This window comes from Homo sapiens, chromosome 9 (assembly GCF_000001405.40).
Source record: "Homo sapiens chromosome 9, GRCh38.p14 Primary Assembly".
NCBI lineage: Eukaryota > Metazoa > Chordata > Mammalia > Primates > Hominidae > Homo > Homo sapiens.
The window spans coordinates 134259305-134275854 of NC_000009.12; the positions used below are offsets into that span (position 1 = coordinate 134259305).

A 16550-nucleotide genomic window follows, 5' to 3' on the forward strand; every position below is an offset into this window, starting at 1 on the left:
TTTACCCACTGTCCATCTGCCCCAATGTGGGCAAACAGACTGAGGCCAGGCCCGAGACAGGGGAGATAAGGCCCGGCTGATGGGACCAAAGGTGAAGGGGTCACCTCGCTCCCCTCCTGTCAGTTTATTTACTGTCCTCAAACTGTCACCTGCCCTTCTGGGAACACAATGGCCAAAACCATGAGGGTGTTTCCAAGGGCCCCAAGTCTCGGCTCCAGGAACCCTGTGGGCTGCTGAGCTGCTGAGGAGATGCCCAAGGAGAACAGCAGGAGGGAAGGGGCTCCCCACTCACTTTGACCTGCACACTAACGCCAGGCATGGCCCTGGGCACACTGCTTACCTCCCACTGAGGCGGGTCTCAAGACAAATTCGAATTGTCAGCGTCTCCATTTTTCAGATGAAAAAACTGACACTCAGAGAGGCTGAGCCGCCCATCCTGGGGCGCAGGTGCAGTAAAGTGTTAGGGTCAGGATTTTAATTCCCATCATTCTGATTCTGGAATCCAAGCTGGTCAGGACAGCACCATTCTGCCTCCAAGTCTAGAAAAGACAGAGCAAGGACAGCAGCCAGCAGGGGTGGGCGAGGCGGGGCAGCCCTCGGGGCCGGTCTTACACACTGGCAGGCCCAGGCAGCGGGCAACAGCTCCGCCAGGCCCAGCAAAGACCCCACTGAGCGCCGCGCCTATCACACAGACACAGAGCAGGACAGAACTTCCATTAAACACAGGAAACACACCTTGAACACCCCCAAGAGCGAAGGCCATCACTTCTTGGCCGTCTGGGCTCGTCCTGGGCTTTGGGACTGAGACTCGGTCTATCCTCTTCCTGGTATTTTCCATACTTTCTGCTTCACCCTCTTCCCAGGGTCCCAATCAACAGAGGCAGAAACTGCTGAAACCGCTGTGCCAGGGTCTGCCCATCCGGGGCCTGCCCAGGGTGGCTGCAGAGACAGAGATGAGTAACTGCCAGCCGTGGGGACAGACCCGGGGCATGGGGCCCTTCCTTTGAGTGATGCTGATCAGCCACGGTTGACAGGAAGCCCACACCTGGAAGAAGTTTCTGGAGTGCTGGGAGGATAAGCAGGGGTCTGTCCTGTGACCCCCAGCGATACTTCGAGGTTAAGAAACCTCAGCCTCGACCGGGCACGGTGGCTCACGCCTGTAATCCCAGCGCTTTGGGAGGGTGAGATGGGCGGGTCACCTGATGCCAGAAGTTCGAGTCCAGCCTGACTGACATGGTGGGAACCTGTCTCTGCTAAAAATACAAAAAAAATCAGCCGGGCGTGGTGGCGGGCGCTTGTCATCCCAGCTGCTTGGGAGGCTGAGAATCGCTTGAACCCGGGAGGCAGAGGTTGCAGCGAGCTGAGATTGTGCCACTGCACTCCAGCCTGGGAGACAAGAGCGAAACTCCGTCTCAAACAAAACAAAACAAAACAAAACAAAACAAAAAAAAAGCAGCCCTGGTCTCTGCCCTCCGTGCTGGTGAGGGCGCTGGGGGCCATTCCCATCACACACATTCCCACCCGCCTCCCACTGCCTGCTTGCTCGGAGCCTAGAACCAGCCCCTGCTAGGGACAGACCCTGCCCCAGAGCAGCTCATACTTCATGGCACAACCCCCTGTTCCGGGAGCCTCGATGGAGCTCAGGCCGGGACCCCCCTCATCACACTCCACGGAGACACCGCCCTCGACCCTGCCACCATATAGGAGCCACCGCCGGTGGTCTACAAGACCAGTGAGTGCCCGGCGCCACCCCATCTGGGTCCTGCTCAGGGTGCCCCGAAGGGCTCCGGGGGTCAGGCATTCACCCGCCTGCTCCTGATGCATGTTGCTGCCTGACGTTTTTGGGAAGGAGGCAGGCACCCGACAAGTGACTGTCTGTATATGGCCGGAAATGAGGCCTGAGTAGGGGTGGGGGCGTTTCAGAGATGTGGCAGAGGTTCAGCCAGGCCTGAGCAGGGCTGTAGTTTCACAGTGAGCCTGCTTGCCCAGTGGGCTGAGGGTGGCCAAGCAGGGCTTGCTTCTCCAGAGCCGAGTCCAGCACAGATCCGAAAGAACTCCTGCCTCCTTTCACCCGAATCCAGGCCCCCGTTCTTGCAAAGGGGCTCCCACTCCCCTGCCTGGGGCTGCAAACCCCAGTGGGAGGTGAGGGCAGGGGCCACACGAAGTAGAGCTCCTTCCTGCCACTGAGACACAGACCACCTCTTTCCATCCCTGGCAAAATGCTGCTCAGATTCTGCTCAGATACCTTCCATGATGGGGAACTCACCACTAGCAAAGTCAGAAAGCTTCCCTTAGGGCCAGCGAAGATCTGCCTCCTGGAGGCTCCTGTCCCTTGGCCATTCCTTTGTGGTTTTGTCCAACGTTTAGAGGCCCCTCCTGTGTGCCTGGCCCTCTGCTGGCACTGGGGGCAGAGAGACAATAGAAACAGGAGGGCCCTCCTCCACCGAGCCCACAGCTAGATGCAGGGAGGGAAGTGAGCAGGCTGAGACCTTGGGGGTAGAGGCAGTGCAGGGAGCTGAGGGACATGCAGTGGGGCCCCCTTTCCTGGGACATGACCAGGAAGCCTCTCCCAGAAGAAGTGACAGGTGAGTTGACACCTGAAAGGGGAGGCCGGGTTGGGCATAAGAGTTTCCAGCTCAGGGAAGGCAGGATCTGTGTCAGGGTCATGAGACAGCTGGGTGCATTTGGGCAACTGAAACAATTCAGTGGGTCTGGATCCTGAGACAAAGGGACCGGAGGACGCAGAAGCTTTGCCTCCCAGGCTTTGAGGGTCCAGGCAGGGCTGATGTCTCCCTGTGTCGGGAAATGGCAGGGTCAGGCGGTGGAGAGGAGGTGGATGCCCTGACAGGGCACGAGGCACCCCAAGGCCCTGGCCTAGCCCCACCCTCCTCTCCAGACTCTCTCCAGGCACCCCACCTGCCACGTATCCCACCCCCACGCTGCGGCCACTGCTTCTAGCATGGCCTGAGCCCATCAGCTCCTGTCTTCCTCGGCCAGGACATGCTGTGCCCCTGCCTGAAGCACTGCTCCTCTGGCTAAAGTTGGTCCTGGGGTTTGGCATTGCCTCCTTCAGGAAGTCCCCCCGACCTCTCAGGCCATTTAGGTGTCTTTTCTGTGTGTCTCACCAGCACCCGGATTGTTTACTCTTCTGACACCTCCCAACATGTGCGCGCTTACACACACACACACACACACCCCCAACATGTGCACGCTCACACAACACACACACACCCCCAACATGTGCGTGCTCACACAACACACACACACACACCCAACATGTGCGTGCTCACACAACACACACACACACCCAACATGTGCGTATTCACACCACACACACACCCCCAACATGTGCACGCTCACACAACACACACACACACCCAACATGTGCGCGCTCACACAACACACACACACCCAACATGTGCACGCTCACACAACACACACACACACCCAACATGTGCACGCTCACACAACACACACACACACCCAACATGTGCACGCTCACACAACACACACACACCCAACATGTGCACGCTCACACAACACACACACCCAACATGTGCACGCTCACACAACACACACACCCAACATGTGTGTGCTCACACAACACACACACACCCAACATGTGCGTGCTCACACAACACACACACACCCAACATGTGCACGCTCACACAACACACACACACACCCAACATGTGCACGCTCACACAACACACACACACACACACACCCTGGGCATTGTCTGCCATGACATGGGCGTGGCATGCAGTTCTGTGGGGCAGTGGTGGAGTGGCCAGGCTGGGGAGGGTGCCTTGGGGTGCTTGGACCCGTTGAGGACACACAGCTACCTCTGTGTGGACAGTGGTCCTCCTCTGTCCCTTTTAACTGAGCAGAGTCTGGAAGATAATGCAGTGGCCCATGGTGGCCCCAGCCCCAGGGGGTGCTCAGGGCGCCCTTCCCACACAGGGTCAGAGGGTGATCTCAGAGAACCTTGCTGGAATTGGGCATGGGGGTCTGTGTCTGTGTCGGCCCCTCTCCCAGGCCACGAGGGAATGCAGAGCAGTGTGTGGTGTCTTTTCCTCCGAGGGTCCCCTCTGGTTCGGGTGACACCAAAAGAGCTCAGTCAAGCTCCGTGGGCTGTGGTCAAGTTCCTGCATGAGCCGCACCCACCTGCACCCCTGTACCACCCCAGCTGCCCTCCCACCCCCCGGCTCACAGCTCTGAATTAAAGGCCAGCTCCACCCACGGCCCCTTCCACAGCCTCTCCTCTCCGCTGCTGGCCGACCTATTCCCAGGGACCTTCAGAAGCTCAGGACCAGGCCACCTGGAGGGGTTGGGAGATGGGAGGAAGGGACCCTGGGCCTAGGCCGTGAGCTGGGAGGGAAGGAGAGGGCTTATTTTCACTCTTGGCACATTTGGGCCCCTCCCCTACCCTGAGCCGCTCAGCAAAGGGGTGAACAAGGTCCGCTCTGGGGAGCGCTTTCTTTCCAGGGCTGTATCGGGGCCAAGCCGGGAAACCTGATGCGGGCGGGGAGGGGAAGAGAGCGGGAAGGAGAGGAGGAGGAGGCCTGTGGTCTGCAAGGGGGGTTCGGGGCTCGTGGTTTTGCTGTCAATTATTTGGAGTGTTTCTTCCACCTAATCAGCTGGAGTGTTTCCATGAGGAAAGCACTGAAGTTCCTTCTTGATGAAGATGCTTCAGAGACCCTGGTCTGCCTGGCTGGGGCCCAGGAACGGCCGAGGGACCAGATCTTTACTCGAGTGTTCTCTGAGTTTCATGTGGCCATGATTGCGTTCAGCGGCCCCTCTCCCTCCACTTCTGGATGAAAAGAGGGAGGGTTTCCGTGTCAGCTGGGTCCGGCGGCCCTGGGGCTCCCGTCTCCCATCCTGCCCTCCTGTCCCCCACGGTGGCCTCCTTGGACTCAGGAGAAGGGCAGCCTCTGCGGGTCTCTCCCTGCCTCTGAGCTCAGAGTCCTGCAGACGCAGCTGGTACCTGGAGACTCAGGGAGATGGCCCGAAAATTCAAAGCCCACACCCGGCTCCACCATCACCTGGTGAGGCCACGTGGCCAGGCTGGGCCTCAGTCTCCTCATCTCTGAAATGGGGATGGTGGAGTGTTCCTGGCAGTTTTCCAAGTGAGCAGAGCTAACCCAGGAGCTGAAGGCAGTGACAGCAAAGGTTCACCCACACAGCCCCTGGCTCGTGGGATCTGCAGAATGGCGGCGGGGGTCACTGCGCCCCCTCTTGGCTTTCTGCATTTCTCTGGCCACAGGAGAGGTCAGCTAGAGGTGCTGGGAGTTGATGCCCCTGAATGGCCCTCCAGCCAGGGAGATGACAGGCAGGTGTCCCTCCCGGGGACAATTCCAGGGTGTGCTCTGCCGTCTCACAGAGGCCTGCGGTACGGAGCCACCTTGCCCGCAGCAGATACCCCCCCCACCCCATGAAGGCCCGTTCCTGTCCCTGTCCCTCCCAAGCTGCTCCTCACGGCACTTCTGGGGGTCTCCACCTGCACCTGCATCCTTGTCCCGGGGGCTGCTTTCAGGGGAAGCCCGGCTAGGAAAGGTGCTTGCTGGTTCATCACCCTGACCCTCAGAGAGTGGAGGAGACAGGACAGTGGCCAGGGCCCAGCCCCAAGAGTGCTGACTCCGGTGGGTGCAGGCAGAGTGGGGCGTCAGCTCTGTGGGCAGACTTCTTGGCGGAGTTCCCTTTTGAGAAACTGGGAATGGTGGGTGGAGGAGGGAGTTAGGTGAGGCTCCAAGCTCCTGCGGCCCCCACTGCGTTCCCACCCCGAGACAGCTGGGGAACTAGGATGGTTTTTTACCCCCTGCCCCTAGACTGGGCAAGCCGAGACCCTTGTGGCCAGAGGGACTGTGACGGCTTGGCTGACACCTCACAGATTCCAGGTCGGCTCCTCTGAATGGTCTTATTTGTTCAAGTTAATGTCGTGTCATTAGCAGTTGGAAGCCTCACAGGAGATTAAACATTAAATGGTGTGTGCTTGGAAATGTGGTCTCGTGCCCAGGGCCAAGGGTCAAGGTTGTGGCCCTTGGTCTTCGTTTAGAGGTTCTCTAACAGGCAGGTTTTCTAAGTGGCCATTACTGAAAAGTGATGAACCAGGAGCTCTACCTCCCAGGGTGCCCCCTAGAGATGAGCCAGTTCCTTGAAGAAACTCCCAAATGCCCCCACTGGGCTGAGAATCGCTGGGGTGGGGGCTGGTTGTGCAGGGCAGGGCCAGGGGCTTTCCAAAGACTTGTCAGTTTCCTACGGCTGAGTCTGGCAAGTCTCCTACCCAGGAAGGGGTAGGTCAGTCCCCATCCAGATGTGGGGATCCTGTGGCCTGGGGCTGGGGACAGCAAGAGGGCACCTTCACCATGGGCTAGGATTCATCCTCAAAGAAGGTGCCAGGTGTCACATGCAGATCCACAGAAGAGAGGGAAGGCAGCTCACCAGGCCAGAAGGACAGACGGCCAGGGCCCAGAATCCCTGGTGGGTGGGTCACCAAAGGGAGCTCTGACCATTCCCCCTCCTTCCCTCCCTACCTTCATTTCTTCCTTCTGCAAACACTTCTTAAAAGCATCAGCTCTTGCATTGGGTCTGTGTGGGGATGCTGATGTGAACAGGATAGGACAGGCCCCCTGCCCCTCCAGGGAGCCCCCAGTCTAGAGGAAACAGACAAAGAAGGCTGTTGAGGTACAGTGTGTTAAGTGCTTCTCAGGGACACACAGAAAGCATTAGCTTTGGGCTGCATCTTGAGGACAGGTGGGATTTGGATATTTAGACTGGAGGGAAGGATGTTACTTCTAGAACATGCAAAAGTAAGGGGATAGGAAGCAGCAGGGAAGGCGGGCAAGGGGCTCAGCAGGAAGACCTTCATGAGATGGTGCAGGGATAGTGCACTGCACAACCTCGGCGCACAGTCCTGTTGGCTAAGTGCCATCCACACAGAATGCCTGTACCCGATGTTTCACAAGCATCTGTTTATGTGTCTGTGTCTGTCTTAAGGGCAGACACCAGGTTGGTGCATCTGGACCCTCTGGGACTAAACAGTAAGACACATGATAGTTGCTAAGTGAATTCTGAATAGGCAAATGGATGAATAGATGGATGGATAGATGAATGGAAGGGTAGATAAATAGATACCTGGGTGGGTGGGTGTTAGGATAATTGGATGGATGGATGGATGGATGAATAGATGGATGAATGGAAGGGTAGATAAATGGATAACTGGGTGGGTGGCTTTAGGATGGTTGGATGGATGGATGAATAGATGGATGGATAGACGAATGGAAGGGTAGGTAAATGGATACCTGGGTGAGTGGGTGTTTGGATGGTTGGATGGATGGATGGATGGATGGATGGATAGATGGATGGAAAGGATGAACGTGTAGATAGATGGATGGGTGGATTGATGAATGAAGGGTAGGTAGATATATAAATGGGTGGGTGGTAGGATGGGTGGATGATGGATAGAAAAGTAGATGGATAGATGGATGGGTAGGTAGATAGATGGGTGGCTTGATGGATGAATGGTAAAGTAGATGGCTAGATAGATGGGTGGATGGATGGTTGGTAGGGTAGATATACAAATGGGTGGATGGATGGTAGGGTAGATACATAAATGGATGGGTGGATGGATGAATGGATGGATCCCTTTCATCTACCATTTCAGTCTAGATTAGAAACTGCAGGCTTCCATAGAGAGCTGTAAAGACATACTGCTTGAGCCCCCTCTGTGGGGTGGGAATGGACTGCTTGGTTTGTTAGCAAATGTTCTCTTGACTTTAAGTGCAGTCCCCTGAGGCCGGGTCTCCAGCTACTGAGGAGGGTGATGCTTGCAGGTCCCCCTGCTCCCCTTCATGGCGGAAGTGGAGCCCTCTTCCTGGGGTGCAGTTGCTGAAATCAGGTGGAGGTGGGCTCTTGGGGGTGAGGGTTCTCCTCAGAGTAGTTCAGCAGAAGGTGTACTCCCCATACCCACTCTCCACCCACCACAGTCTGACCGGAGGCTTGGCAAATGGGATCGTAATCCCCAAGCCTTCGGGACCTGAGGGTTCCCTGAGTACCTGCCCATCAGTACTTAGAGAAGCATCCATGCTCTTGTCAGTGGAACCCTCTGGAGAGTCAGGACAGGGCAGCCTTCAGGAAGTGGAGAGCCCAGCCCCAAGCTTCCCTCCCAGAAGGAGAAGAGCTTGCAGCCAGAAGAGGGAGCCAGCAGGTGTGTGGGCCGGCATGGCTGGAGGGGCGCAGGGCTCCGTCTTCACAGAGGAATCCCCGGCCCGGCCCAGGGGGGTTGCTCCTCCTCACCGGCTGTCTTCAGAACCCCTGGTTCTCTTCTCTCACACATGTGCCAGGCTGTGGACAAATTCGGGCTCATGTCCACATCTGTTGGCTGGACATGGTGTCAGCAGGCAAGGCCTGGGGTCGCTGAGGGGGCTGCAGAGTGGCCAGGAAGGTAAGACTTTGGTTGCTTTGGAAGAACAGGATGGTGTGCTTGTTAGTGGGGCCCCAGCTGTCTTCCTAGGTGGCATAGAAGTGACTGTGGCCTAAAATAGGAACAGTTTCTGGAATGAGCAGGGAGGAGGTCGGAAGGGCAGGGAGCAAAGGCTCCTGCTGCTCTGGGTCTAAACCCTGTGCTTGTTGCTGTCCAGCCGGCGAGGCCTCCTACCCGCCAGGATGGAGGGTTCAGGGCCGGAGCTGCAGCCAGCAGCACGCTACAGGCACAAGCACCTCACCACGTGAGGGCTAAAGTCGCCCGCTTACCCTGACCTTGGCAACCGATTGTCATGCATGTCTGCCTCATGGGACTGCTGCTCTCCAAGTGTCACTCTTATCAGGAGCCAGTGCTGGAGCACACAAGGAAGGGCCTGTCATTGTGAAAGGCACCAGTGTCCCCACCAAGCAGATCCTGGTGGGCAGTCTGTCCCTGCCACGGCCCAGCTCTGAGTCTTGGGCTGGGTCATGCTTCTGCTTCCTCGCCTGGACGCTGGGACAGTGGGGCTTCCTTCTGCAGGTCATGGAAGGATCCAGGAGAGAGTGCTGTGGGCGCCTGTGAATGAGAAGGCCCAGGACACGGAGGCGGCCATCAGACTGTTCGTAAATAAATGGAAACCCGATCTCCAAAGCTAACCTCGCTTCTTACAGTGTCTAAACCTCACAAACATCCTGCCGTTTGAGTCTGCAATGAGCTGCCAACACGAGCCCCTGGTGTTGCTCACCACAAGTGAACCTGAGCAGTGCCCCATGGGCTGGTTTCAGGAGCTCAGCTGCAGCCCGAGGGCCCAGGGTCACCTGCATCCTCTGCGGTTTGCGTTGGTCTGGGAGCTGGCGGGGCCGGAGGGGAAAGCCCAGGGGTATGGGGAAGTGGCTGCAGCCCTCGACCGCTCCTCCGAGTCATGTCTCAGTGCAATCAGACCTGGGCCTGGGAGCTTAGCTCCAACACGATTTACAATTCAATTGTGAAATGGGATAAAAATTAGACATCCCCCTTCGGGCATCTCAATTTTCTTTGTTAAAGCTCCGGTTCCTCCTAGTAAATTTATCTATTTCTAGATGAGCTTGTATGTTGTGTTGACAGGCAAAGGGCTGGGTTATGGGAGGGTGGTCTGCTGACTGCTTCCTTCTTCAGTCTGGGAGAGGCTGCAGTGAGGACCCAGGGCCACAGCAGTCACATTCACTTGCCACGTGGGCTGTGACCTGAGTGGTGGAGCTGAACAGTGAGGAGGCGGTCCTGGTGGGAATCTCAGCTTCCCCGTTCACAAGCTGTGTGACCCTAGGCGGGTTACCAACATCTCTCCTTCTATGTGAATTGGGAATTTATAATGCAGGTGCCAGGCTGGGGGCCAGGGGACAGTGCCTGAGACGGACCCCGAGAGCAGGATTCAAGACTGTGTGTGTGTGTGTGTGTTTAGGTCACCACTGTGGGCTACCAGAGCTCAAGGCCACCTGCGACCATGTGAACTAGTGCAGAATTTGCACCACAGTGTTACCCAATGAGGGGTGAGAGCTGGGATAAGTGTCCACCCTTGCCCTGGGAGTGACAAGGCAATGGTGGGTGGAAAGGGTGTGGGTGGCGTACTGGGGTGCCATCGCTGCAAAACAAATTCCCACCAGCTTAGGGCTTCCAGCAGCTCATGGCTGAGCACGGCCCTGTGGGTCGCAGTCTGGCACATTTTGTCTGGATACTCTGCTCAGGGTCTCACAGGCTGAAATAAAGGTGTATCCTGGGCTATGTTCTCACCTGGAGCTCGATTGGGGAAGAGCTGTGTTCAGGTGTGTCCTGGGCTGTGTTCTCACCTGGAGCCCTGACTGGGGAAGAGCTGAGTTCAGGCTGCCCTGTGGGACTGGCAGAGTTGTTTCCTTGCATCTGCATGTCTGAGGTCCCTTTGTTCGCTGGCTGTCTGCTGAGGACTGCTCCCAGCAACTCCAGCACCCCCAGCTCCTTGCCTATGGTCCTCTCCAAAACAGGGCATTTTGCTCCCTCAGGCCAGCAGGAGAGGTCTGCCATTGTCTAAGACACTCTGACATCCTTTGCCTCTGACCTCCAGACCCAGATTTAAAGGGCTCATCTCCCCTTTGATTATCTCAAAATTTTAATTAGAAGCCTAATTACATCTGCAAAGTCCCTCAAGTGTGGGAGGAACAAGCAAGTGTGATGGGACGCACCCTTCATGGAGTATCTTCACGGAGTGCCTTCATCCTTCACCCTTCACGGAGTGCCTTCATCCTTCACCCTTCACGAAGTGTCTTCACCCTTTACCCTTCATGGAGTGTCTTCACGGAGTCCTTCCTATCACACTCACTTGCTCCTCCCACACTTGAGGGGGTCCTGCTGGCATCTAGAATCCTGCCCACCACCGCGGGCACCAACCTTGTTTGTTCACATGGTGACCAAACAGCAAGTTCCTGGCCACCAAGATCTCGCTGTCCAGTTGTAGAGACAAACAGAAGGTATGCACAGATGAGATTCTACGAGGCCTAAGCCTAAGTGGCTGTGAAGGTGAAGAGCAGAGGTCCCGAGACAGGATGATGCAGCATGGTTAGGGTCAGCATCTCTGGGAGAGTAACTTTTTTTTTTTTTTGAGATGGAGTCTCGCTCTGTCGCCCAGGCTGGAGTGCCGTGGCGCGATCTCGGCTCACTGCAACCTCCGCCTCCAAGGTTCAAGCAATTCTCCTGCCTCAGCCTCCTGAGTAGCTGGGGTTACAGGCACACACCACCATGCCCAGCTAATTGTTGTATTTTTAAGTAGAGACGGGATTTCACCATGTTGGCCAGGCTGGTCTCCAACTCCTGACCTCAAGTGATCCGCCCGCCTCGGCCTCCCAAAGTGCTGGGATTACAGGTGTGAGCCACCATGCCCAGCTAAGAGTAACATTGAAACTTAGTCCTGGAGGATGGGAAGGTGCTGGAGTGCGGGTGAGGGAGGGGAGTGTTCCAAGTGATGAGAGCACCAAACAGCCTGTGCAAAGGCCCCAAGGCAGCGAGAGCCGTGTGCATCTGAGGAACAGAGGGAAGGTCAAGTGTGGCTGAAAGGGGTGAGCTGGGGGCAGGGGAGGGGATGGGAGCCTCCAGGGACTGGCAGAAGCAGCCATGCAGGACCCTCAGGGCCAACAGTGAGTGGGGGAGGGAATACCCACCAGCTTTATCTTGAAAGAACTGAATTAAGGGCCAGCCATGGTGGCTCACGCCTATAATCTCAGCACTTTGGGAGGGCAAGACAGGCAGATCGCTTGAGCCCGGGAGTTTGAGACCAGCCTGGGTAACATGGTGAGACCCCGTCTTTACAAAAAATAATTTAAAAAATCAGCCAGGCGTGGTGGAGCACCCCTGTAGTCCCAACTACTCGAGAGCCTGAAGTGAGAGAAACACCTGAGCCCGGGAGGTTGAGGCTGCCATGAGCTGTGATCACACCACTCCACTCCAGCCTGGGCAACACGGCAAGACTCGGTCTCAAAAAGAAATGGAATGAAATTCTATGAGCACATGACTCGGTCTCAAAAAGAAATGGAATGAAATTCCATAAGCACATCAGGTGCCAGCATACAGGCTGGCACTCCACAGGTGCTTGATGAGGACAGAATTTTGAAGTGACCCCCATCCTGTGTGACCTTCTCCCCTAGGTGTGGGTAAATCCTGTGACTTGCTTCCAGCTAGTAGAAAATGGCAGAGGTGAAGGGATTGTGCAGATAAATCCCCTACTCTGCAGGATTTAAGTTAATCAGAAGGGAGATGATGCTGGGTGGGCCTGGCTTAATCAGGGGAGCACCTTAGAAGCGAGCCCAGAGGCAGAGGTTTGCGGGAGCAGATTCCCTCCCCGACCTCCCTGCTGCTTTGAAGACGGAAGCGTCTATGAATTCTACAGCCCCAAGGAAACGTGTTCTGCCAACCCCTTGAGGGACCGTGGAAAGGAGTGCTGGCCTATTTGAACTGCCACTGAGATTTCAGCCCCGTGAGACCCTGAGCAGGGCACGCGGCTCAGTCTTGCTTGGACTTCCGACCTACAGCAATGGTGAGGTCAGAAATGCATGTTCCAAGCTGCTGAGTGTGTGGTAGAACAGCAACAGAAAACAGATACAAAGCGTAAGCATTCTTGCTCTTCCAACCGCTGCCTCTCTGGGGAGTGCACACTGCACCCAAGCAGAAGGAGGCGGTTCCTGCTGCTGCCTGGGACCGCCTCACCCCTGTCATCCAGCAGGTATCCATGCATTAATTATTGCAATTAAGTTATGCATGCCGGCAACCCGCTGTTCATGTTCAAACCCCTGCCCGTGGACCAGAGACGCATGTTCTGCTGTGTCCACTCCACACTCCCACCGTGGCCGTGTCTCTCAGCGGTGCCTCCTGCAGAGCTGGAGTGCACTTCAGCATCCTCTTCAACACCAGGCTCTGGGCAGCGGCACTGGCTCTTCAGAGCTGCTGGAAGATGGCCCTGGTCTGTACCCCTGACCAAGACCAAGCAAAGCACTGCATCCGGCACTGTGAAGCAGCCAGAAATGAGGGGACAAGGTCCTGGGGCCAGCGGGCGGCCCCAGGAAGGGCAGGTGCTATGCTCTGGCCCTAAAGGAGGGATGGGGGTTTTGAGAAGTGCAGAACATAAGGGGGGAAGGGGACTTCCGGGAGAGGAGCACCTGCACCCGAAGCCAAGGGGTGGAGCTACGAAAGGGGCCCTTCCCAGGTGGGCTGTGAGGTGAGTGGCAGGCACGTTCTCATTTGCTCCCGGTCCTCACAGGTGCAGAATCCTGAAGCCGTTTACAGACGAAGAGCTGAACCCAGCCTGCCTCGGTGACTCGCTCAAGGCCACTCAGCTGCTCAGCTGTAAATCTGGTGTCGAATCTAAGTCCATCTGACTCTTCAATCTGTGCAGAGAACTGGGGTACCCCAGCCTCCCAGGGCCCTGCCCCAGGCTGGTACAGAGTCTGTGACCAAGCCCAGCTGCTCGTTTCCCCCCGCAGGGCCCAGGTCATCGCAGTCCCTGCCAGCTGCTCGAAGTCCTCTGTACGTCCCTGTGCCAAACACTCCCCAGCCCTGGCCACTGCGGCCGTCTCCTGCCTGCCACTGCCCAGACCCTGACTGCCCAGGCCCTGACTGCCTGCTGTCCTGACTGCCACAACCTCCTCCGGGAATTCTTTGCCTCCCCCCTCCAGCTCTGGCAGGGAGGCCGGCCCTGGGGGGGGGTCCTGTCCAACTATGGGCCCCTGTGTGCAGGCATCTGTAGAGGGGCATTCACCCCCACTCTGCATGGGAGGGCTGGAGGGATGCCCTGAGCCTGCTCAGCCCCGGGCTCTGCCCGGAATGGGTGATGGGACAAAGGCATCCGGGAGGCTGGGTCATCTCCTGAGCTCCTGGACAGTGGCAGACATACCTGCGCCACTGCCTGCCAGGGGCCTCCAGCCAGAAAGAAGCAGCGATGGCCCCACACTCTTCATGCAGCCCCCACACAGCACCTGGGCACAGCCTTGGAAACCTCGCCCGGCCTGCAGGCCCCCAGGAAGCCTGAGCTTTGGTGTGATCCAGCCTTGCCCCAGACAGGAGCGTCCTGACCCTGACTCCCTGTGGCTCTGGGACAGAGGCTATCTGCCTTCCTCACCACAGCCCCGCGGGCCAGGGTCCCTGTTCCTGCTGGCTGTGCACTTGGGGCCTGGTGGCTTTGCCGGCACTCTGGGCATCCTGCTCTCAGGGTGGTCTGGAGCGAGTCCCGCCCTGATGCTGAGTTACATTTTGTTCTATTTCATTCACTCACTCGCGCACCCCCTGGCCCCTTCATTTGCTCATTCTCTCCTTGGACCATGCAGTACCAGGTTCAGGCCCCCACTCACTGCAGGCTGTAGGGGCTGCGTGACGTCTCCAGAGCTCCCTCCACCCAGGCCTGGCACACAGAGATGTCGCTGCCCAGAGGACAGAGCCCCAGTTCCTCCTCTGCCCACCCTGACCACTCTGTGCTCTGCCCCTTTGGAAGGGACCGGCTCTCTTCATCCACCTGCCTGCTTTTCCTCTCTTCCTCCTCCTCCTCCTCCTTCTTGTCATCTGCATAGCTCCTCCCATCCTTGGTGTCTCTTTTTGGATGCAACTTCTTCCAGGTAGCCCTGCCTGATCCCTTCAGTCTGGATTAGGCGCTCAACATGTGCGCTCTGAGCTCGGCCCAGCCCAGGCCCAGCCACACATCAAAGCTACCTATTGGTAGACCTGCCTTCCCCCAAACCCCCCAGGACCAAAGTCCTCAGGGCCCAGGACCCAATCAGTCACCACTGCTTCCCTTGAGCCCAGCGCAGGCCTTCACCAAATACTCAAGGGAAAATGAATGAATGAGGGAATGAAAAAAGCTGCCCAGGAGTGGACAAGAGCTTCCTTTTGGATGCCATGGGCCAGAAGGGGCTGCCCGGATGCACCTGAGGCCCATGAGCTAGGGAGGGAAGAAGGCTACTCGGAGGAACAGGGTGATGCCCAAGCCTCCCTGCTGGGGAGGGCGAGGGCACTCACAGTTGACCAAGTGGACTGTGCGGCCTCCTGCTTGTCTCACTGGGTCCCTGGTCCCCGTCACAGATGGCCTGAGTTTGGGGGACATTGCTGGTGGCCATCCTGAAGGCCAGGCTCTCTGCACCTGTGGGGTCCAGATGGCACTTCAGGGACAGGGTTGGGGGGCATTCCCCCAGGCCTGGTGTCCCTCAAGGTTCTCACCAGGGACCTCCTGACACGTGTCCTAGGGAGGGCTGTGGAGCTCGGCCCAGGGACTGGAGTCTGGAAGGTTCCAGCTCACTGTGTGGCCTTGGGCAAGTCCCTGTAGGGCTTCAGTCTCTCCATCTGTGAAGTGAGGGCTCCCTAAGCTTTCTCAACTTCCTTAGAGGAAGGCTGTCCTGTGTGAGCCACAAATCCAGACTCAGGACCCAGGTGGACCTGGGTTCAAATCCTACCTCGACTTCATTCTTGCTGTGTGACTCAGGGCAGGTGGCTGAGCCTCTCTGCACCTGTTTATTTCTGACTGTGCCTGAGGGGAGGAGGCATGGTGGGTGTAAGGGCCTGGGCGAAGGAGGTTTCCAGGTCAGAGAGCAGTTGTGCTTGTTTCTGGCTGCTGCAGCCTCTCGACAATAGCCCGAGACCCCTTGAAGGAGCAAGAGGGACCCCAGAAGTTGAGGAAGACCAGGCCCCTCTGCAGGGCGCGTGGCAGACTGGCTTCTCCATCCCTCAGGGGCCATCTTGGCACCTTCATTCCAGACATCACTGGATTCTTTTTGCGGGGTCCCGGGTTGGACTGGGTGGCTGGGGTCTGGACCTGGCTCCGTGCTAGTGAGGAGCAAACTCGCTCATCATGAAAATAAGCCAAGCCTGCTCCAAGCCAGCACGGAGCAGAAGATGCAGGGAAGGTGGCCTGGTGGCCTCTGAGGAGACACAGCCATTTGCTGTTTGCATGTTCAGGACCGAGCTATGGAGACCTCTGGGCGCCCAGTGCAGCAATGCACAGAGGAATTAGAGAAGGTCCCAGGAAATGAGGACAGCTAGCCTTCCCCCACATTTCCACACTGGATCTTCAAGTAACCCCCATTTGATGGAGGGGTCTTCTGAGAAGGAAAGAGGGTATCCAGGGTTTGAGGGGAGGAGAGAACTCCTACCCTGGTCAGGGTCTGCCTTCAGGGAGCTCCCCGTCTGGCAGGGGGAAAACGGCAAGAATACTATCTCATCAGCGACCTAATGAACCGTGAGCTGAGTCCCATCCCTCCCTCCCCGCAGGGGAGGAGCCCGGGTTTCGAGGTGTAGCCCCACTACTTCCAGCTAGGGGGACAAGTCAAGGAGGTTCCCTGAAGAGGGTGCCATGTGGTGTGCCCCTCTGTAGAGTGGGGGCAGCATAGAGTCCCCACTCCCCAACCACAGGCTATTGCAAGGAGTCAGTGAGGTCAGGGCTGAAAAGCAGGACCAAGGGCCGGGCACCCAGGAGGTGCCTGACTATGGCTCAGCTCTCACTCCTGCGGCAGGATGGGGACAGACAGAAGTGGACACCTGAGGCCCTCCCTTCTGGCTCCTCTTTGTGAGGCAGAAGCAGAAAAGATGGGGAGGGGAGGGGCTGCCTCCT

General features: G+C 57.4%; 1 long non-coding RNA gene across 1 annotated transcript, besides 2 other annotated features; it reads left to right on the plus strand.

Moving 5' to 3' along the window:
* Nucleotides 8090-8722: an enhancer, noted in NCBI's record as "H3K4me1 hESC enhancer chr9:137159240-137159872 (GRCh37/hg19 assembly coordinates)". NCBI's record gives its function as "activates a minimal SCP1, AML or CMV promoter by ChIP-STARR-seq in naive H9 embryonic stem cells {active_cell/tissue: H9 hESC(naive)}" and the evidence as "EXISTENCE:reporter gene assay evidence [ECO:0000049][PMID:30033119]".
* LOC124902299 (uncharacterized) lies at nt 8360-9117 on the plus strand. The gene is made up of 2 exons (XR_007061836.1): nt 8360-8443; nt 9002-9117. It is a non-coding gene; the product is annotated as an uncharacterized LOC124902299 (long non-coding RNA).
* Nucleotides 14629-15384: an enhancer, noted in NCBI's record as "H3K4me1 hESC enhancer chr9:137165779-137166534 (GRCh37/hg19 assembly coordinates)". NCBI's record gives its function as "activates a minimal SCP1, AML or CMV promoter by ChIP-STARR-seq in naive H9 embryonic stem cells {active_cell/tissue: H9 hESC(naive)}" and the evidence as "EXISTENCE:reporter gene assay evidence [ECO:0000049][PMID:30033119]".